This window comes from Homo sapiens, chromosome 6 (assembly GCF_000001405.40).
Source record: "Homo sapiens chromosome 6, GRCh38.p14 Primary Assembly".
Lineage (NCBI taxonomy): Eukaryota > Metazoa > Chordata > Mammalia > Primates > Hominidae > Homo > Homo sapiens.
This window is the reverse complement of record NC_000006.12, coordinates 70,819,261-70,842,782: the sequence shown is the minus strand read 5'-3', so window position 1 is coordinate 70,842,782 and position 23,522 is coordinate 70,819,261. Positions and strand designations below refer to the sequence as shown.

The 23,522-nt window shown below is 36.4% G+C and overlaps 1 protein-coding gene across 10 annotated transcripts in view; it reads right to left on the bottom strand.

Moving 5' to 3' along the window:
- The window catches only part of SMAP1 (small ArfGAP 1), a 194,133-nt gene that overhangs the window by 19,233 nt on the left and 151,378 nt on the right, over positions 1 to 23,522 (bottom strand). For 8 of the 10 annotated variants that reach the window (NM_001044305.3, NM_001281439.2, NM_021940.5 and 5 more), the window contains one exon: positions 5,755 to 5,842. In NM_001044305.3, coding sequence (NP_001037770.1) covers positions 5,755 to 5,842 — 88 coding nt within the window. Of the gene's footprint in view, positions 1 to 4,873; positions 5,003 to 5,754; positions 5,843 to 23,522 lie in introns of those variants that run through there. The other 2 variants (XM_005248760.6, XM_047419230.1) reach the window with 1 other exon arrangement.

Here is a 23,522-nt window from a genome sequence, read left to right as displayed (position 1 = left end):
AGGGCGGCAGAATGAGGAGAAGCAAAGAGGAAGCTGGCTCCCTGCGCTCACTGTTCCACCACTGCACGGCCCCAAACCACCGTGTCTCCCGATTTCTCTTCAAATGAGATAATTAGATGTCCTTATGTTTAAGCCATTTTCAGGCTTCCTGTTACTCGTAGTTTGAAGTCGCCTCATTCAGAGGTCAATTTTACTCCTCTCAACACCTAACAATTCTTTGTCCTATCCACCAGCACATTCTCTGGAGGTTCTGTGCTGTTTCTAAGAAGCTGTCCCTTCTTGCTCTCTTCTAAAGTCTGTGATATCATCAACTCACCCAGCGGCACCCGTTTCTGGTGTCAGTTCACCAACTGCCCTACTACTGACTCAGGACCACTTGCAAGTATCCGCCCATTGCTAGTTACCTTACACCAATATATTCATGTAACTGCATTTTCTTTCCTATGCAGTGTGACTACATAAGAATAAACCAATCCCTGAGACCTCCTTTTTGAAAGGGTAATAATAGTTCATAATAATAGTTCACTGAACATACTTTTCTGAGCAGAGGCAATACAAGTTGTTATCAGGTTTTAAACCATCTCTGAAAAACATAACTTGACTATAAAATTTTCTTGGGCACTTCTGCTACAGTCTTCCTCACCTTCAATCCTCCTCCAAGAGAAGGGGAATGTGCACATAACTACACAAACGTCCTCCAGATCTGATCAAATAGGTAGCTCTAGGACACCAGCGGTTTTCCAGGTCCACTGGTAACTGTGGATCACCAGGACCACTGCTGCTAAATCTGGCATTCTTTTACTCAGCTCATTCCCAAATTTGCTTTATATAGCACATGGACTTTGAGAAATGGCTAGAAATTTCTCTGTAGGAATCTTCTGTTTGAAAGGTAAGTAGAGTACTTTCTGTATTCACCTCTCTCATATAAAACTGGGTATATGTTGCTAATAATAAAATGGGTTATATACTAATGGCTTAATTTCACTAGCATTGTCTTGACCACTGTCATATGTTAAAGCCTTTATTTCCTGAACACAAACATGAATGGGGGAACTAAAATTTGCAAACTTTTCTCATCGACTTGCCCAAAACTGTATGTTCCTTTGAGTGTTTCAATTAAGAAAAAACTGAGGGAATCTCTACCTACTTCTCCATATAGTTCAGTATTTAAAATAATTTAAAGTAAAAGTTATGAATGTTTAGATAGAAATTTCCCCAGATTAAAGTAACGAATAGAATGGATAAAATCAAATCAGTTTTATATAAGCAGTGAATAGAGAAACACATGATGTACACCCCTGAGCTAGATTTTCATTACCAAGATCATGACTCGATTCTTTGTGAGATGCTTTCTGGGGCACTGAGAGGATGCGGTCCCCCCAGACAGCCTCGGCAGTGCACCCGACACATACAACTCTGTGTCTGGTAGGACTGTGGGTAACGCCTCCTGACAAGGAACCAGGCTGCTCTGCAGTGCGCATGTGGTACACAGATGGCCACAAAACAGAACCCCTGCAGGAACCATTAATGGGAGGTTGAAATGAAACCTCTAAGGTCACATTCAAGGCCACTAATGTGTAATTCTTCTCAAGCCTTATGCCCAAAGCATGTGCTCGCCCTTGAAGACTTTATTCTCAGAGGCGGTCTTATGCCCCCACACTCTAAAAATGAGCCCCATTGAATAGAAGCATTAGTCGGGGGGAACTGTCCTAACCAATTGGTAAGCAGTCTGTCAATTTTTATCATCTTTAAAACTAATAAACAACAAAGAATAGACACTACCCTAACAGTATAATTCACAGTCCTAAACTAGCTTCCTAAGTAAGGGGACCCGAAGAGCACTCTTCTCACAAACCCTAGAAGCTGATTTTAATTCTATTTTAACATAGGACGTGCATACTCAAGTCAGGATATGTCTGTGTTTGATTCAAATCTGGTACATTCAGAGATTATTCAATCTGGCACTTAGTCAAGAGGGGCCCCAGGCCCTTGGTAATTTCTAAGACGAGGCAAGTCAAGTATCTCACCCTGTTTATGGTATTAGAGAGTAAAGTACTATAATAAATAGTAGTCCTATAGCTTTCAAACACAAATTAATATCTAAATATGAGGCAGCTCTTGTAGGTACTATTGGGAACATAAAGCAGGGGTGAGCAAACCCTAGCCCATGCCTGTTTTTACAGTTGATAGGAACACAAGCATGATCGGAACACAAGCATGCTCATTCATTTACATGTTTGTTTATGGCTACTTGCACACTACAATGGGAGTTGAATAGTTGTAAGAGATCATAAGGCCTGCAAAGCCAAAAATAATGTCTATTTGGCCCTTCTTGGAAAAAAATGGACAACCTCTGCTATAAAGTATATATAATATAAAGCATTTTATGTTTGAACTTTGAATGGGTAGTAGATCAGGAAAGGTGAGCTTAAGAAAGGTTTTACCTGAGTTACTGGGTTACACAAAAGAAAGTAAGTTCATTAAAGTCCCATATAAAGGAAAGATCAAAAACTAGTCTTAAGTATTAGGCTATTATGAAACTGTTAAGAGTGATAAAGAAGGCCGTGAGTCCCAAGGATCCATAGCTGTGTTAACTGAACTATCGCTATACAAGTTCTCTCTATATTTTCTGGAAATGTTTTAAGTTAATGTCTGTTCTAGTCTCACTCATACGGAGATATGCTGTCATCTTTGCATGACCATAAATCATACTTCAAGGCACCTACGCCCCCAATCCCCGCTGTGTTTCAATTTACAGGGGAAAACCAGGGTCCCATTGGAGGAGAGCGGCATGCTTCTGAGCAGATAAATAGCCTGAGGCCCAAGGTGGACACCAATCATCAATCCAGATTTAGAACCACTGTTTGTTTTGAGCTGAAAGAGACCTTTGATTCTCTGTAGTCTCCTGGACTTTCATGAATTCATCGATTTTATGCTGAAACATAGCTTTTTTAAAAAAAAAGTCTGAAAATATTTTTTAAGAGTTTAGGAAATTGATAACCAGCAGATGTGAAGAGCTGTATGTGCTCTGGGTAAGACACTTCCTCTTCCCTGCTGCTACAACTCCCTCACAGCAAGACAGCCCTCTTTCTAACCCCATCTCCCACTCCTCCTATCTTTGGAACTCTTCTGCCAAATGATCTAATGACCCACTGTGAGTCATTGCAAAATCCCCCTTATATTCTTAACCTTTTTTCACAAACATTCCCTAACTTCTCCTGCTAAATGAACTTTGGTTCTCCCTTAAAGACACTGTCCTGAAAATGTTCCACTGTCCAAAAGAGTGACATCCCAGCAGACCTACAGGCCCATGAGTGACAGAAATAAATGTTAGTTGATGTAAGCCACTGAAATTTTGGAGTTGTTTGCTATGTAACACACACAGCAAGAGCTGACTACTTTAGAAACTGATACAAGAAGGGTGCTGCCACAACCAAACCCTAAAATCTGTGCAATGACTTTGAGACAAGGTGGTAGAAGATAAGGAAACACTGTTGGAACTTAAAATGGAGACACATATTGCAATAGTGAAATGGCTGGTAAAAAGTGCCCTGCAATAATCAGGAAGGTAGAAAATGTATCAAATGAAGTTACAGTAGAGCTGCCCTAGCTGACCCACAGAAAGAGAAACAGATGTTTAATGTTGTAAGCTGTTGAAACCTGAGGCTTATTTACTATGCAGTATTATTCCAACAATAATGGAGTATCTGAAAGGCCACTCATACCGTTTGTCAACTAGATCCCATCCACTCCGGGCTATTCAAGGACACTGCTAGAGCAATTTTTCCTTGTCCTGAAAGTATCAGATTTACCTCTCTACAAGCTCATTTCTAACACTAAACATCTTGTAATGTCATCCTTAAAAAAACCCTTTCCTGTCCACCTTGCCCTACTATAATCTAGTCTCAGCACAACCGCCACAATAATTCTTCAAATACAAAAGTCAGATTATTTCTTTTCAGCAAATTCCTCCAGTGTCTTTCCAGGTCACTCAGAGTTAAAGCCAAAGTCCTGTTATACTCAGCTTGCCCCCTCCCTACCCCCTCCTTCCTTGTCTCCTCTGTTACTACTCTCCCCTAGATCATTCCACTTTAGCCACACTGTCATCCTTGCTGGTCCTTGCACACTTCAAGTAGGCTCCTACTGAAGAGCCTTTGCATCTGCTGTGTTCTTCTCAGAATACTCTTGCTTACAGATCCAGATACCCAGACCTTCTTCACCTCTTTGCTCCAATAAGACATCTGTGAATGCCCCCCGTCCACCCTATTTAAAATTACAACCATCCATTTTTGTTTTCTTTCATCTATAGTATTTACCACATATAACCTACAATATATTTTATTTAATTGTTTATTCACTGTCTCTCCAGATGGAATGAAAGCCCCAGAAGGCAGGGGTTGCAGTCTGTCCTCTTTCAGATCTATCTCCCTAGTATCTACAATGGTACCTTGACACACAATAGACAGTAGCTATTTGGTGAATGAATGAGTGTAAGATATGAATCAGGCCTAGATTATATTTTATATTTCTAAGTTATGAACTAATAAACCAGGCATGTAGACTGGAAAAGAAATGCTGCAGTGAAGATAATGATATACTAAAGTTTTACTAAGATTTTTTTTTACTTTAATAATAATTTCTTTTCTTTTTCTCTCATTTACAGTAAAGGAAATAAAACAAGAAATTATGAGGACTACAATTCAACATAATTATATTTAGAGCCCCTGGACTGAAGCCTTATTTTCAAAATTACAGTTATTTTTTATATTTCTAATACACAACTTTTTACCATCATAGAAGAATTGTACCTCCAGGGAGTATATTTGTACGATGTACCAGCTTCCTAAGAAATGAATAAAACATTCAGCTATAATTCTTAAAACAGACAACAATTTATTCAATAACAACTAGGATCAATTTTTTGGAAAGCAGTACATGAAGGTCAACTCTTCCACTTCAACTAACTGCCTTTCACTCTTTTCCTTCTCAATCTTTCTCCAAACTAAAAAAAAAGAAAAATTTAAATTATTCCTGTGCCAAGGCTCAGGTATTACTAAAAGTAACCTTTCATCAAGCCAATTCTTTTAGAAGAAAAAAATGTAAAAAAAAAAAAAGAGAGAGAGAGAAGCTAACAATATTTGTAGATAAGCACACTATAAACACTCCTTGAATGAAGGCCTGTTTACTTACCACATAGACAATATATACCTTTCAGCCATGAGAACAAACAGGACATTATATTAAAATTAGCACTTCTTATTCTCATTGAATAAGTTATATGAATCTAGTCACTAGATCTGGATGCAAAATGTGTTGCTTCAGTTAACCAAAATTAAATTTTATTTTAAACCAACGTATTTTACAATAAGGCTACCCTAGAATTATTTTGCTAAGAGGAAAAATCCCCCACAAAACTAAAAATTCGAGAAAGAGAGAGAGAGAAGAGAAAATAATCCACTCTTTATTGTAAGCGCTAAAATGTCACATCCAGCAAGCCTTTGAAGATTACTTTGATATCTTCTTTTCCCCAAAGAACTCATTACTTGTATTTCAGTGAAAACAGTGCTGACAGACACTGGCTCCCTTATTAAAGATTTCTTTTTTGTGGGAAGTTAGCAAACTAATCATACCATTTTCAAATTCAGTTAACAGGTACGTTTTGGCATACTCAAGATAAAGCCATTATATTCACTCCAAGTAAAGGTTTCAATTGTTTTGTAACTCCAGCAGTGACTTTTATTTTTTATTACTTACCAAGTCCTAAAAGATCCACAGTGGGCTCCGCAGCTTTTTTAGGGCTGGTACTTTTTTTAGGCTCCAGTTGCTGATCTTTCTTCTGCAGCTTTAAAGTAAATAATTGGATTTATTAATTTTTCTTAAGTAAATTTAACAAGATTTTAAGCCCCAATTAATTACAGGGTTCTGATAAAGTTAGTGTAAAAAAAATATGAAACATAGTATAATAAAACCTAGAATATTATTTGTCATATACAAAACAAGCGAACATGACTGTTGAAGTTGCAATGACAATCCTCACATATTGGGACCCCAAAATAGTGAATAAAACAATTTAACTCTTAATATAATTGTCCTTAACTACTAGCTCTTTTATATGAAATTACACATTTTAAAGAAATGCATTTCATATTAGTTCCTAGCTACTATTAATGTACTTCTGTGATAGAGTTTGGCTGTGTGTCCCCACTCAAATTTCATCTTGTAGATCCCGTAATTCCCATCTTTTATATGAAATTATATATTTTGAAGAAATGCATTTCATATTATTTCCTAGCTACTACTAATGTACTCCTGTGATACAGTTTCGTTCTGTGTCTCCACCCAAATCTCATCTTATAGCTCCCATAATTCCCATGTGTTGTGGGAGGGACCCAGTGGGAGGTAATTAAATCACGGGGGCGGGTCTTTCCTGTGCTGTTGATTTGACGGTATTATAAGGGGTAGTTTCCCTACACAGGCTGTCTTTGCCTGCTGCCATTCACATAAGATGTGACTTGCTCTTCCTTGCCTTCCATCATGATTGTGAGGCCTCCCCAGCCACATGGAACTGAGAGTCCAATTAAACCTCTTTCTTCTGTAAATTGCCCAGTCTCGGGTATGTCTTTATCCGCGGCATGAAAACGGACTAATACATCCTGTTAGCTGAGACTGGGGAGGCCTTGGAGTCTTCGTGAGCACACTGTTAGCCCATCATCCACACACTGTATGATACATGAGACACAACTGCCAGGAAAAGCCTAATGAAATGGTATTTGATATACTTTCTTCCTGAATCTACATTATTAATTACTTTTTAAATATAATATTCTTCTAGTTCTCAGGAGCCGAAGTCATAGTTACACATTCCAAACTTACTTTCTCACAAAAAACATTGCGTAGGACAGAATGAAAAAACCTACACCTACTGGATTATCAATTCTAAAGCCTACTTCTAATAAACTAAGAAAATAAAACGTTCAGTTGAGTGCAGTGACTCACACCTGTAATACCAGCACTTTAGGAGGACAAGGTAGGAGGATCCCTTAAGCCCAGGAGTTTGAGACCAGCCTGCGCAACATAGCAAGAGTCTGTCTCTACAAAAAATGAAAAAATTAGCTGGGTGTGGTGGTGCACACCTGTAGTCTCAGCTACTCGGGAGGCTGAGGCTGGAGGATTGGTTGAGCCCAGGAGGTCAAGGCTGCAGTGAGCTATGATTGCACTACCGCAGTTCCAGCCTGGGCAACAGAGTAAGACCCCATCTCTTAAAAACAAAATGAAATAAATAAATAAAGAAAACATTCATTCATTTCTCAAACCATTTCAAGATCATTTCTTCTACAACTACCTGAAGAATTCACAACTTAGTTGTTACATGAGTTCATTTTTTGTTAGCTATTAGAGATACGTTAACTTCTAAGAACACATATCTACCCTTATTTGTTTTTTAATCACTACACTCTCCCTTAGAATTATTGTTTAACCAATTAGCCTACTATTACCAGGTGTCAATTCTTTTTTTTTTTTTTTTTTTTTTGAGACGGAGTCTCGCTCTGTAGCCCAGGCTGGAGTGCAGTGGCGCAATCTTGGCTCACTGCAAGCTCCGCCTCTCGGGTTCAAGCCATTCTCCTGCCTCAGCCTCCCAAGTAGCTGGGACTACAGGTGCCCACCACCACACCCGGCTAATTTTTTTTTTTTTTTTTAGTAGAAACAGGGTTTCACCGTGTTAGCTAGGATGGTCTCCATCTCCTGACCTCATGATCCGCTAGCCTCGGCCTCCCAAAGTGCTGGGATTACAGGCGTGAGCCACTGCGCCCGGCCCAATTCTTTAATAACTCTCTCAAATAAAGAATTAGCCACCTGTAACAGTATATAATTTTCAGAAGTTTAACATAATCCATTTCACATTCTCTATTCTTTCACTTTTCAACCTCTAATACAGGTTCAGACTTATCTTGCTTAGCAAAAGGATTTCAAAATAATTTCAAGAAAAATATTCCCTGTAGTCATGAAGAAAGGAATTCTTTTCAACTGATTACTCAATCTGCTACTATAAATAATCAAATCTGCAAGGGAATCTGAGAATCGTGTGGCCACGAGCATGCAAACTTCAAATATTGCAGGGCAGGATCCTAGCAGCTTCCTGGGGTGGGTCTTCATTGGTCTCATCACAGCCTATAATACTCTGAAGAGTGTCTTAAAGTAGTCTTTAAGTAGGTAGTTAAGTCTAATCCCTATTTTAATTTGGCTTAAAAATCAGAAAACTTTGAAGTTGAAAATAAACTTAGAAAATCTGGCCAAACACTTTCATTCCGCAAATTAACTGAGGCTCAGATGTTATGTGCCAAATAGGAATACAGGAACTAAAATTCTTATTTTCTGCCACTCCAAATTTAGCATTCTTTTTTTTTTTTTTTGGTGTATTTTACTGAATCTTCTTCCATGGAAAAAAGCATAAAACAAACTAAACTTGTGAGGAATTCCTTCCTATTTATTTTCTATGATCTAAGACTTTGGAACCTCTTCAGGCTAAAAAGGATCTTTTTTAAAAATTCAAATAGAAACTCTTGTTTATAAGGCATTTGTCACCAAATTAGAACTACCTTTTAAAATGCTGCTGAGTATGAAACTATCTGTCATAGTTTGAAAAGGAAAGAAAAAGCTAAATTGAGCAATGCAGAGGTCCTCTAGTAATCCCAACTCCCACCCTCAGAACTACTGCAAACAATTTGGAAAATATCTTTCCTTCCAGATGTTCACACATGTATCTGTGTTCTAAAAGCTTCTCATCTTCCTTACATTTCAATTTAAATGGGTAGTCATCAACCATTTTCATAGGAAACTGTATAAATGAGAACATATATATAGCTGTGCAAAATAAAGAGAAACACTAAGGCGAGAATAAGAGAAATCCTAAACAGTTTATCAAATTGCAGGTGGGGCCCACTAGCAGTTTTTGAAATCTATTTTATGGGCCACAACGAAACTTTTTTTGGCATATAAAAATGATACAGAATAGAAAATAGAGTACACTGACTGCATAAAAGAAAGGTAAATATTCCCAGATTGTTGTTTTGCACATTTGCACACACATGTGAGCACAAATCTGGATCATAATGTAAAATGTATTTCTTAGCAGAGTGGTAGGTTGACAAATGCTGCTCTAAAGACAGTCTGCTCCTTTGCTCCTACAATGGTCAGATTATGAATGAGAAATGTCTATGCCCTAAACCCTATTATTCCAAATAGAGTTGGCTATTCTAGATGGATTTCAACAATTCAGACATGAATTATCCTTAGAGTTGGCATCTGAAAGGTTGTCCCACAAATCAAAAAAGCAAAAGGATTGATCACTTTAAAATTTACTTTGTATCCCTCCATTATCAAATCTTGTGGAGGCCGTAACCTGAACACAACGTGTGGCAAAGGTGATTTTAGAGATTACTTTTCTATGTCTTCATAGTATATACAGTATATACTTCTTCATATATATTAGTGAAAGCTACAAAGATTAAATTCAGATGATACTCTTCTTCACTGATAATTGTAAACATAAGAAATTAACCTCACTATTTTTATTTTTAAAACATTTAAGGACAGATACACCAAAGCACAAACTACATAGGTAAGGAATCCTTCTAAAATTCTAGATAGAGTAACAAATACTTAATCTTTTAGAGCTTAATATCCATTAAGAGTTATTAATTTTCTATACAGTTTTCTTGAAAGACTTCAACAAAAACTGAAAGTTATTTCTTATTTATATTTAAAAATATTTTTACAGATTTTTGTGTAAAACGACAGGAAGTAAGTACTTATGTTCCTAGTCCTAGATGAGTAATAATAACTTAAAATACAGACTCAGGAGATGCTATTGTTGGAATGTGTCACCCAAAATTCACATGTTGGAAATGTAATCCCAGTGTAACAGTGTTGAAAGGTGGAGTCTAGTAAGAGATGATGAGGTCAGGAGGGCTCTACTCTCATGAACAGATTAATATCATTACCACAGGCATAGGTTAGTTATCAAGAGAGTGAATTTGTTATAAAAACAATTTCGGCCCCCTCTTGTTCAAGTGCTCTCTTGCCCTTCCAGCTTCCAACCATGGGATGATACAGCATGAGGGACCTCACCAGATGCTGGAGCTGTCCTCTTGGACATCTCAGCTTCCAGAACCATGAGCAAATAAACTTCTTTTGTTTATAAATGAGTCTGTGCTATTCTGTTACAGCAGCACAAAACAAACTGAGATGGAATAAAGAAAATCTTTGCATAGATACTGCCATTATGAAGGTTCCAAAAAACCTGAAAACATGCAATCCCCTAATAAAGATACACACACACATAGATTCAATGTTTTTTAAAAAAATTTTTAAATAGCTAGGTGTTGTGTTTTATTCCATTACATTGTACATTTAAACCCAATACTATCACCAGTAAATCAAGGTGGGCAAAGCCTATCAAAAGACTACTTCCACACCAAAAGCAATTGCAAGAAAAACAAAAATTGACAAATGGGACCTCATTAAGCTAAAGAGCGTCTGCACAGCCAAAGAAACTACCAACAGTAAACAGAAAACCTACAGAATGGGAGAAAATTTTTGCTAAGTATGCGTCTGACAAAGGTCTAATCTTCAGAATCTATAAGGAACTTAAACGAAATAACAACCAAAAAACAACCCCGTTAAAAAATGGGCAAGGACATAAGCGCTTTTCAAAAGAAAACATACACGTAGCCAACAAGTGTATAAAAAAATGCTCAACATCACTAATTATTAGAGAAATGCAAATCAAAACCACAATGAGACACCACCTCACATCAGTCAGAGTGCCTATCATTAAAAAAATTTAAAAAATAACAGATGCTGGCAACGCTGTGGAGAAAAGGGAACACATATACACTGCTGGTAGGAATGTAAATTAGTCCAGTCATTGTGGAAAGCAGTTTGGCAATTTCTCAAATAACTTAAATGGAATTACCATTTGACCCAACAATCCTATCATTGGGTATATGCCCAAGAGAATAAAAATTGTTCTACCATAAATACATATCCACACGTATGTTCATCGCAGCACTGTTCACAATAGCAAAGACATGGAATCAACCTAAATGCCCATCAACAGTAGTCTGGATAAAGAAAATGTGGTACATATACACAAGGAATACTATACAGCCATAAAAAAGAAGGAGATCATGTCCTCTGCAGCAACACTGATGGAGCTGGAGGCCATTATCCTAAGCAAACTAATGCAAAAACAGAAAATTAAATACTGCACGCTCTCACTTATAGGTGGGAGCTAAACACTGAGAATACATGAACACAAAGAAGGGAACAACAGACACTGGGACCTACTTCAGGTTGGAGGGTGGAAGGAGGGAGAGGATCAAAAAACTATCAGGTATTATGCTTATGACTTGGATGACAAAATAATCTGTACACCAAACCCCTGTGACATGCAATTTACCTACATAACTAAAACCTGCACATGTACCCCTAAACCTAGAATAAAAGTTAAAAAAAAAGTAAAAATAAGAAAAGACTACTTCCAATCATTATATCATGACCACTGCTAGGATGCCTAATATTGCCATATTCTAAAAGCTGACAAGACAGGTACTCAGTCTCTGACTGAAGGGGAAAATCATGGCTGGCCTCAGCTATTGGACTAGGAAGAGACAGTTGAAATGATAATTCTCTTTTGTCACATTGAAGAATCCAGCATTTCAAAAACCAAACATTTAAAATAATTAAAATCAAATCTCATGAAATAAGATAGGAAGTTCAGAATAATTTTCTTCTTGTCCCTCATTACAGTATCTGTAGCAACAAGGCAATTTAAATAATCCAGATTAATCAAGAAGAGAGCAGCAGTACCCTGTGTACATGCTAAAAATCCTGTCTCATGGCCACTCTAAAGTCTACTTAGTTTCTACAGCAAAGCACATTTGATTCTCTTTGTCTTTCTTTACAATATAAATCACCAATGTTAATGTGTAGAGAGGAACAACAGATTTCCAAAATGTATTCCAATTAAATATTTTGGTTAACAGACACAGACATATGTGTAATGGATTATGTCTTCCTGAAAACTTTCTAAAATGGAAAAGTCTTCAAGAACATGTTTGACTTTTTCCAGGTTTGCCTATAACATAAGAAGTCATTTTTATCAATATTTTCAAGACATAAAGGTTGTAAACCTTAAACAACAAACATGAATACATAAACTATCAATTTGTACTTTTGCTCTGTAGCATACCAACTGTATTGTACTTTGCAAAGACTTACAAGATACAATTATTTAAGATACTTAAAATATAGCTATCACATAAATACAAAGTAAATAATATCTGGAAGCCAAATTTTAGAAGATTTAAGAATAAAAATGCTATTATCTTGTTAGGATTTATGGGCAGGGATACTAGTGTGTGATAACAGTAAATTAATACCTTGATGACCACACCTTCCCTCATTTAACTGTCATCCTTTTGATACCTCACATTCATCTCAGACATGGCAAGCAACAGATACAGACTCACTCCACTTTAAATTCTGCTGCTATTGAAAACATTGCATAGGAAATTTGTCTTTTAATAAGTGAAGAATGCAGTCAACTGTGGGTAGATAAAATTAGGCAATCTATAATTTATTAAACAAAATTTTCTAACAAGCAAGAACATAAGTCTACTTAGATAAAGCAATTTTATAAAATGTAATTTCCTTAGAATCACATTGAGCAGATGTCTCGTTCAAATTATTAAAGCTTTTATTAGCAGAAGCTTTACTACCCAATCTTTTTGTGATTCATTAACGCTACCCCACAGAATATAATTGAATAAAAAACTATTTAGGTCCCAACTCCTACATTTACCACCATTTCCTAGCCCTTTAAATAACAGACATAACAGCTGAGCCTCTAGAAGGTGATTCACTATTCTTCAGCTGGCCAGTTAATGTAGACAAGAGCATAAATATATAGTCAATAGGAAAGCTATACAATTTTCTAAGTTCTAGTGGTAATTATTCAAAATTTTCTTTTAAAACTGACATCTCAAATTATAACTTAGTTTATTTATAATCAGTTTCCTTTAATATTCCTAGAATCTTAGAACAACAAGAAACATAAAATGTATTACATTCAACTTTTTCATTTTAACATTAAGGAAATTAAATGACATGATTTGTCCAAAGGCTCCGTAAGTGGCTATCGTGGCAAAGGTTAATCTCCTAACAGGGTTCCTTGCCCTGCACCATGGTGCCTTTTGCTGAATAATTTCTATCTATCAAAAATTAGATTTAAAAATAAATATTTACCCAATGCTTAACAATACATGCATATTCTTACAATGACATAACAGAAAACTGCAATTTAAAAAAATCATGCCAGGTGGCACGTGACAGTAGTTCCGGCTATGTGTGAGGCTGAGGTAGGAGAATCGCTTCAGCCCAGTAGTTGGAGAACAGGCTGGACAACATAGCAAAAACACATCTCAAAAATAAAAAAAACAAAAACAAAAACAAAAAGAAGACAAAGAAAAAAACAGAAAAAAAAAATAAACACAATCTGATAGAGGGTCAGAGCAAGCATGCCAATAATTTTAACTCAAGGTACACTATAAAGACCACATGAAAAGTATGACTCTTTGAAGTTCAAAGGTAATGGTAGTCGTGGGTGATTAGGATTTTATAAAGGTAGTGACATTAACTTTTGTGTATGTAGGAAAAATAGGAAAGAGTCAAATAGGAAACACGGTGCACTCTACTGCCCAGGCTAGAGTGCAGTGGCAAGATCGCAGCTCACGGCAGCCTTGATCTCCTGGGCTCAGGTGATCCTTCTACCTCAGCCTCCCAAGTAGCTGGAACTATAGGCATGCACCGCCATGCCCAGCTAATTTTTGTTTTGTTCTGTTGGGGTTTGAGACAGAGCCTCACTCTTGCCCAGGCTGGAGTACAGTGGAGCAATCACCACTCACTGAAGCATTGACCTCCCTGGAATTGGCAATGGCACCATGTGAAGAACACTGAGTGGGAAAGGTGCTAGATGGTGCTTGTATCTGACTGACCTCTAGTTCTACATGTAAGGAATAAAAGATGAATCTGAAGATTTTTATTCTATTTCCACAATGTGGAAGGACCTAAATAAATAGCCAACTAGAGCTAGCATTCATATATGTCACTGTTTTTCAATGGGGGTAGTGAAAAGAAAAAATATTACTCCTGGAGAAGTATGTTGTGCATATGAACTGCAGTGAGGAAGAAAAATCTGACCACCATTGTTGTAGGTGGGAGGCTTTGTGACTGTGATGTGGTCAGAGCAATACTTTAGGAAAAAACTAATCTACGGCCTCAGTAGAACCTGATTATCTGAGATACATTTTCTAACAAGTTACTCAACAACACATAATTCCCAGAATACTAACCTATCTTGATTACCTACTGAAATCTTCATAGGTTTAACCTTTAATTCCCAGAATACTATCCTATCTGATTACCTACTGAAATCTTCATAGGTTTAACCTTTACTAAAATTTTCAGTAAAAAATTCATGAGTTAATATTATCCACTATATTACCTACATTAGTTGTTTACTCAAATAAAGTCTTTTGACTATATGCTATAAATACATTAATAAAAACCAGTCTTATATTCCTATATAGATTGATAGCTATAATTACTATATCTGTTTGTATTTGTATGCTTTCAAAACTGAATTATATACAACCTTAAAACTATTTTATGTGAGAAAAAATTTTGCATATAATTCTTGTTTATTCCCAATATCTTATTTATTCAAAATCTTTAGTTTCTTTTTCTCCTGTTTACCATTCTTTATAATATAGATCTTTTACAAATTAAAGCTGTCAACACATAGAGTACTCTTTTTGAATTTAATATTCTTTCTTAAATTGTATTTTTAGGATTTATTACAATCTACATTTTATTTCCCCAATCATATGGACATCTTTCAGTAAATGTTCTCTGTAAGACCTATGGACACTACCGCCCCAAACAGTATCTCACTGGGCTGGAGAAGTTATCAAGGATTTACACAAATTGCAGAAGTCGGAGCAGCCTTGAAGACATTTAGTGAATTATGTGATACACAAAACACTACTGTAACATCTCTCTTACACGTCCATTCTCTCTGTAAGAAAATCTTCCAGTGTTATGGAATCACTGCATATGATGATATAGCATATTTTACATTTGGATAATTACAAATATTAGAAAGTATCCTCTTCAGACAATTTGTAACATCTACCCATTTAGCCATACTCTCTATGCTACAGCCATGCATAAAACAAATGGAGGAATAAATTTGTGGAGCTGACCTTCTCCAAAGCAACAGAAGACCATTAATTCATACCAGACCTTTGGTCATCTAAAATTCAATGACATTTTCTTTTGTGCTATATTCAGGACAGTTAAGTTTGGGTACATTTGCTTCAGAATTTTACATTTATCCAATTTGTTGGCATTTATTTTAACACTATCTGAGGGATTTATTCTGTCATTTGATATCTTAACTAATCTTTATTGCTTGGTCATTTGAAAATTTGAACAATATGGCACAGATATCCACAGTTAATAAAAATGCTGAAAAGAATGAAGTTCAGTATTGACCCCTGAAGAAAGCAGAGAACTTCCTCTAAACTGACATCAATTCTATTAATTGGATAGCTGTCTATCCGGTTCATAATCTACCTTACTATCTGATCATCAGGCCCACCTGTCTACATCTTGACCAGACGCATATTTAAGAATCTTGGCCAATAAGCAAGCTTAGTCTGACAGGAACTGTGGGGTTTTTTTTTTCTTTTCTTTTTCTTTTTTTTTTTTTTTTTTTTTTTTTTGAGACACGGTTTCACTCTGTTGCCCAGGCAGGAGTGCAGTGGCAAGATCACAGTTCACTATACTGCAGCCTCGATCTCCTGGGCTCAGGCGACCCTCCTACCTCAGCCTCCCAAGGAGCTGGGACTGTAGGCGTGCACCACAATGCCCAACTAATTTTTGTTTTGTTTTGTTGGGGTTTGAGACAGAGCCTCACTCTGTCATCCAGGCTGGAGTGCAGTGGTGCAATCACCACGCACTGAAGCCTTGACCTCCCAGGCTCAGGTGATCCTCCCACCTCAGCCTCCCAGGTAGCTGGGACTACAGGTACAAGCCACCACGCCCAGCTAATTTTTTGTAGAGATGGAATTTCACCATGTTGCCCAGACTGGTTTTGAACTCCTAAGCTCAAGCAATCCACCTGCCTCGGCCTCCCAAAGTGCTAGGATTACAGGTGTGAGACACCATGCCAGCCAGGAACTGTTCTTAAAGAATCCATGGCAGGCAACCAGTGAGTGCTGGTAAGACTATGGAAAAGAAGTAAGTTGTTAAAAAAAAAAAAAATCCTTTTGAATTTTGCATAGAATCCATGTCAAGCTTAATGATACAGCATTCATAATCCACTACATTTTCCTTCTGAAAATCAAGACGTGAGCCCATCTCTAATCTCCTGGTTCCCTAGTTTGTAGCATTTCTCAAAGAATGACCTAGAGTGCTTTATAAATGGTTCTAAAAAGTTTCTTATTATTCATCCCAAATACTGAATGGCTACACTGGTAAGTTTCCTTAAAATAATACTTTGCAGGATTTTTGTGAGAAGTAAGCAAAGTAATTTAAAGAGAGTCCCTTTCACAGTAGCTGGCACATAAGTGCTTCATAAATGGTAGCTGCTAGTGGTTGCAGTAGTACATTTTATCGTTACATACCAGGACTAGTAAGCACTAGGGATACAAAAATGAAGAACACGTTTCCTAATCTTAAACTCATACTCTAGTTATGCACATGGACACAAACATAATCTGGTTCAGTGTGGACCAGTGTAATGATGGAGTTAGAAAATAGAAGTTTTCTGGGGCACACAGGAGTGGCATGCTTATTCGGCTTAGCATGTGTGTGAATGAGAGGCAGGTGAACACAAGTCCTGGTTTGCTCAAAATAACTCCAGCTGATGCCTGTTATTCCAACTTAACTGTTTAATAGTGCCTGCTTTCACTCTTACAAGTATCCAATTTGAAATACCCATCATAATTATACTTAGAGCCTTTAACTTTAGACAGGAATTGGCTACAGTACTGCTAAACTTGTCATTAATAGGTTCCTCTCTTGACAATGGTAAGCTCCTGTTCGTAAGACTCTATGGATTGCACACAAATGCCCAGTCACCTCTCAGTAGTGAATTAGCAAGATTTTTTTTAAAAGCAGTAAACCCAACAGGAGTGGCTATACCTACAGCTATATCTTTAACACTCATCTCACTATTGTTATTCTTGTTTTTACACAGTATTCTGGAGGTTTGCAGAGAAGGAAAAAAAAAAGTAGTTTTTGATAATACCACTTATTAGCAAAACTATGAAAGAAAAAAATTAGCCAAACACCTGAGTTTTTAACCCCAGCATGGACACTTCCCAGCTGGGTGACTGTGAACAAGTCACTTAGTATCTCTGAACATGGCTGGCTTCATAGGTTTGCAACCTATGCAGTCTCACAGAGCCCCAATGCTACCTTTAATATTTTCCTATGGCCATCTTGAAATTTGTAATAATTTTCTCTTTGAATATCTATTTTGTAAATCCGATGGGACATAAGCTTAAGCACAGGATATATGCGCAATGTGTGTCCCCACTGTTCCTTGCTGTACATCTGCATACAGGGCTCATGATGCTCCATGAGCACAGAGTCACAGTACAAGACTGCAAGTGAATACAAGATAAGTATATTAGCTCTATGACAGGGTGAGCAGGGTTACTGACAGCCGCAAGAGACCATGATTTCTGTTCCTATTAGAACTTGCTTCAAAAGCAGAAAGAAGGCAATGGTGTTCTAAGAAACAAGGAAGACCAAAATATCCTATCCTATCTTACTCATGTCACTTCCCTGTGTTAGCCAACACATACAGTAAAAATGATGACAGAGAAAGAAAAAAGGGCAGCCGACAGTTCTTTTTCCTTTCCTCATCGGTAAACTGAAGGTAGAGTTGATAGAAAATATGTGTATCAAGAAGTGAAATAAAAACAGTAGAGTTAGTTTCTGCATGTTTCCACTGCTCTGCTAAGAACAAGTGACATATGCATGTGGAAGCTAAGAATATGAAGTGTATCATTTCATTGATTCCATATGTGGGTTAAATGCTCTTATGTTTGCAATTAAAACTTCACTGCATAATATAAATAATAAAATTCATATTAAGAATGTAAAATTTTAATTTTTCTTGATTTAAAACAACATTAAGTAACAAAAACATACCTTCATAAGTACAGAGACTGTGGAAGAAAAAAAAGCTTTATATTTTAGTACCTTTAACGGTACTTTTTATTCCTGTTTTCTAAACAAGAGGTCTCTAATTTTCATTTTGCACTGGGCCCACAAATTATGTAGCTAGCCCTGTGAGCCTAAGCTTTTGATCGGTAAAATAATAATAATAATAGCTATCATACTGACCTTATGACTGCTGAAATAATAATTAAGATTCATATTATGAGACTTTCCACTTCTGGTCCAGCAAGCAGGGAGCTTGCAAGTCACCATCCTGTTTTAACGAGTAAAAAGCTGAACGAACTGGAAAATAAACAACTCTTTTTAAGCCTATCAAAGAAGTGAAGTCATAAGGCAAACTGTAGCCCTGAAAACAAGAGAGACAGGCAGGCAGATAGACAGAATCAACTTATGGGGATAGAAACCCAGTCCCAAGGTAGGAAAACCTGAACTGTAATTGATGAACTGCTGGAGGCTCAAATATAGACAAGTCTGAGAGATTAAAACTTCAGGGGATCCAGGTCATAGGGTGGCCCTCACCCTTCTGAGTTTTACCTCCAGGATCTCAAGCAGGTTCCTACAATGAAGATTTAAAAAAAAAAAAAAACCCTTGGGCTCTGGCAGGGGGAACTGAAAAATAACTACGGTTGGCTCTCTATCTGTGGGTTCCACATGCATGAATTCAACCAACCACAGATTATAAATATCCAAAATAAATAAAAATAAAAAATAATACAACAAAAAATACAAATTAAAAAACAGCCTAACAATCTGCATAACATTTACATTGTATTATGTATTATAAGTAATCTATATATTATTTAAAGTATATGGGAGGATGTACATAGGTTAGACACAAATATGACACTTTATATAAGGGACTTGAGCATTTGTGGATTATGGTATCTGCAGGGGGTCCTAGAACCAATGCCCCATGAATACCAACAGACAACTGTATTTTGAAATATGATGGAACATTCTGTTCTTTTTAACAAGGCCTGCCCTGAAGAGAAACTATTTTACCAGAGCCTGACCTGCTAGGAGTTTTATTAGAGCTTAACCTACCTAGAGGAAGGAAAATACCCAATTCTACTCCCCTCCAGCCATCCTGTCTCACCTAAGGGGTGCAGGATAGAGGCACTTGTGAAGTATATAACATAGGGGCACAGGCTCATTAAAGGACTGAGACCTAATCACAGGATTATAGAACACTTCCCCTCCCCCGAAATATTAATAAAGTCCTATTTATCTGAGTTCCTTTCACCCACTACATCATGTCTAGCTTTCATTAAAACATTACAAACATACTAAAAGGTAAAAAACACAGTTTGAAGAGAAAGATCAAGCATCATAGCCATACTCAATTATGGCAGATATGTTGGAATTATCAGACCATGAATTTAAAGCAGCTATCATTAGTATGCTAAGGGCTCTAATGGAAAAAGTAGACAATATGCAAGAATAGATAGGTAATATAAAGAGAGATGAAAATTCTAAGAAAGATTAAAAAAGAAATAAAGAGATCAGAATTGAAGAACGCTTTTGGTGGGCTCATTAGGAGACTGGACACAGCTGAGGGAAGAATCTCTGTGCTTGAGGATACATCAATACAAACTTCCAAAACAGAAAAGCAAAGGAAAAAAAAAACACTGAAGAAATGGAAAAGAATATCCAAGAACTGTGGGACAACTAAAAAAGTGTAACATACATGTAATGGAAATACCAGATGGAGAAGAAGGAACTGAACGTAAGAAATATCTGAAACAGTATGACAGAATTTCCCCAAAATTAATGTTGGATACAAAACCACACATCCAGGAAGCTCAGAGAACACCAACTAAGATAAAAGGCCAAAAAATTATACCCAAGTACATCATGTTCAAACTGCAGAAAATCAAAGATACAGAGTTGAGGTCCTTTGCCCTTACCTTTTCTTGCTTCTTTCCTTCCCATTCCTATTTTTGGATGTTATAGAAATAGACTGAAAAGCCATATAGCATATTGGTTAAGGATACATATTCTGAAGGCAGACTGATCATATTCAATTCTCAGCACAGCCACTACTCAATAGCTGTGTGACCATGAATAAATTGCCAAACTTCTGTCTCTCAGGTTCTCATCATAAAGGAGAATAATAATGGTATCAACCTGATATAACTATTGTGAGGACTACGAAATAATATATTTAAAGAGCTTAGAACAATGCCTCACAAACATTAAGCACAAAGTATGTGCTTGCTATTTTTATTACCTTCAATGACCCATCTAATCTAATTGTTGACCCTTTCACCTGGGCTGCAACATTCTTAAGTATAAGCTTTAACTTAGTAAAACTACCCTCTATCAAAGTGTATATATTCAGGAAGTATTTTCCTAATTTTCTATTTCAGGAAATTTCTAATTTACTAAGAAGAACTGTAAAGCATGCATGCTTAGTGAACAAAAGCCTTTCTTTCATTAACTAGGAAATGAAAGCTCTGCACATAAAGTAATTGGATTTCTTCCCTTTTTATTGCCTCACTTGCAATAAAGCTTCAAATGATTGCAAAAACATTTTAGAAATTCCATGAAGAAAAAAATGTTTTCAATTTACTACAAGCCTGTAATAGAACCTAAAATATGGTTTTCTGCTACAACCTACACATTCTTTATCATCACAGTTACTTTGATAATAAGCAAGTGTTAAAAAGCTATTACATCTCTGGCGGGTTTCTTCTTCTAGGCTTGCGGGCATTGTAGTAAATGGTTATTTAACTAACAAAATAAAGTTACTATCATCTTGCTATTGCTTTCTGTTAAGTAATAATTCTTATTTTAGGTATTCAATTCGCTCTTTTTAAAACTAGGTAAAACAAAACAGTAAGAACAGAGCAAACCATCTTGGCTGAAAGAGCTTTCTTCACGTAGTAGTCAATATTTTTTCAGGCTAATTAAATTTACTCATTTAAAGATAACCTCTCAACTGCCAGGAAATTCTGTACTCTTGATTAGCACAGAATAAGAAAAAGATTAGTTTCTATACTCACTAGGATATTTTTCTTCATGACAATGCCATATATTTATAAGAATGTTCATAGCAGCTTTACTCATTGAAGTCCTAAGCCAGAAACGACTCAAATGTCCACTAACAGCAGAATAAAAAAAAAAGTATGGCATATGTAGACAGACAATAGAAGAATGTTCAGCAATAAGAAATGAGAATGCAATGACATAAATGAATCTCACAGACGCAATGATCAGCAAAAGAATCCATACAGAGGAAGAGTTGCATGGTATGATTACATTTACATGAAACTCAAAAACAGACAAAACTTAATCTTGTTGATATAAATCTAAATAGTGATTCAAAGTTTTTAATAATCCTCTTAATTTTTCTCTTTAAAAACAGGACATCTTGAGAAAATGGGGCAGGGAGGGGGGGAAATCCTAACAGGAACTTCAAGTGCTACCTAGAGTGATATCTACTAAGGAAAAGGATACAGAAATCAAACTTTAGACTTTACAAGGTCTAAATCCAGCAGCTATTGATTATTCCCTTGAACCACTGTTACTGTTTGTATTAATTAGTTTATTTACGTATGATAGTTTGGCCTACTTAAAAATAAGAGTCGAAAAGCAAACTTCTAAATAATGCTTATTATAAAAAAGCAAATCAACACACTCTGCAAAATTAAATGGGAAAAAATAACCAAAAAAATCTGCTAGACTGTCTTAGATGGAAGTTCTCTCTCACTTGATCAAATTATCTTGAACAATAAAGTTTTCTTTTTTTTTTTTTTCCGAGATGGAGTCTCACTCTTAGCCCAGGCTGGAGTGCAGTGGCACGATCTCGGTTCACTACAACCTCAGCCTCCTGGGTTCCAGCAATTCCCCTGCTTCAGCCTCCTGAGTAGCTGGGATTACAGGCACCTGCTACCACACCCAGCTAATTTTTTGTATTTTTAGTAGAGACGGGGTTTCATTAGCCAGGATGGTCTCGATCTCCTGACCTCATGATCCGCCCGCCTCGGCCTCCCAAAGTGCTGGGACTACAGGCGTGAGCCATTGCACCCGGCCTAAATAATAAAGTTTTCATAATATTTCTCTAGTCTCTGTATCAAGGCATACCATAGTTATCACAATCAAATTAAAGAGTTTCCTTTTCTTTTTTAATTAAAAAGCTCATAACATCAATTATGACTATTACCTATAGAAAAATGACATGAAAATCTATAAACAATATCTCTACTGATACATCCAATACATATAATGCTTATATATTTAATCAAAAGAAGATATTCCTTAAAGGTATAAATACAAGAAGAATTTGAAATCATTTTTTATATTTTTGCTTATAACATTCTGTCATCAATATATGGCTCCAGAACCTTATCTTTAATCACATCCCTATAGCTCCAAACACATGAGAAAATATTAAAAGAAAAAATCCATAAGATTAGTCAGGCTCAGAACCGAGGTAAGTATCTTCCTGGAGCAGAAATCAAAGAGAAAGGCAAGCAGACAGTGGGACTGAAGCCACTATCCTATAGAGCCTTATGGGCAGGAAATAGAATCTCACATAGTAATAGGGGATTTCAAGTCCAGTCCAATGTTTGAAACCACAGGCTAAGACAGGTTTTTCCAAAATGATCTGAAGTAGAAGCATATTACTGTAATTCAGAAGAATGTACTCTTCTTCTTAGCAGAATTTAGTTTAAGTAACAATATATGTGGGCAACCTATTTCGAAATCTTGGAAATAACACTGTTCTTATGCGACTTCAACATATTCTATTATAATTAAAAACTGTATCCTTTTAGCATTCAATTTGACTCTCATTATATTACGATAAATAGTGCTCACTATTTACCATCTGGGTCTAAACAACCTTCTTAATTTTCCTGTATATTTTCAAGTCATTTTATGCTTTGGAGAAGAATAAAGGGAGACTGAAACGCTCCATTAAAATTTTCAATAAAAATGGAAACACAGCAAACTCAAATTTTAATTCCACGTTTCAGGTTTTGATGGTATGAAGACCTGAAACAGGAAACATCCTTTGAATGAAACTATCATGAATGAACATAGAACTTATCCATCTTGTAAATATTTATTCTAGATTTAAAATACCTGTATTAAGTTCTAACATATAGTTACTCTGGTTCCTTTTTTTTTTTTCACCCTTACATCATTAAAACATGGTATTTTTTAAAACACTGGCAGCTCATCTTTTTGTTGATGAGAGA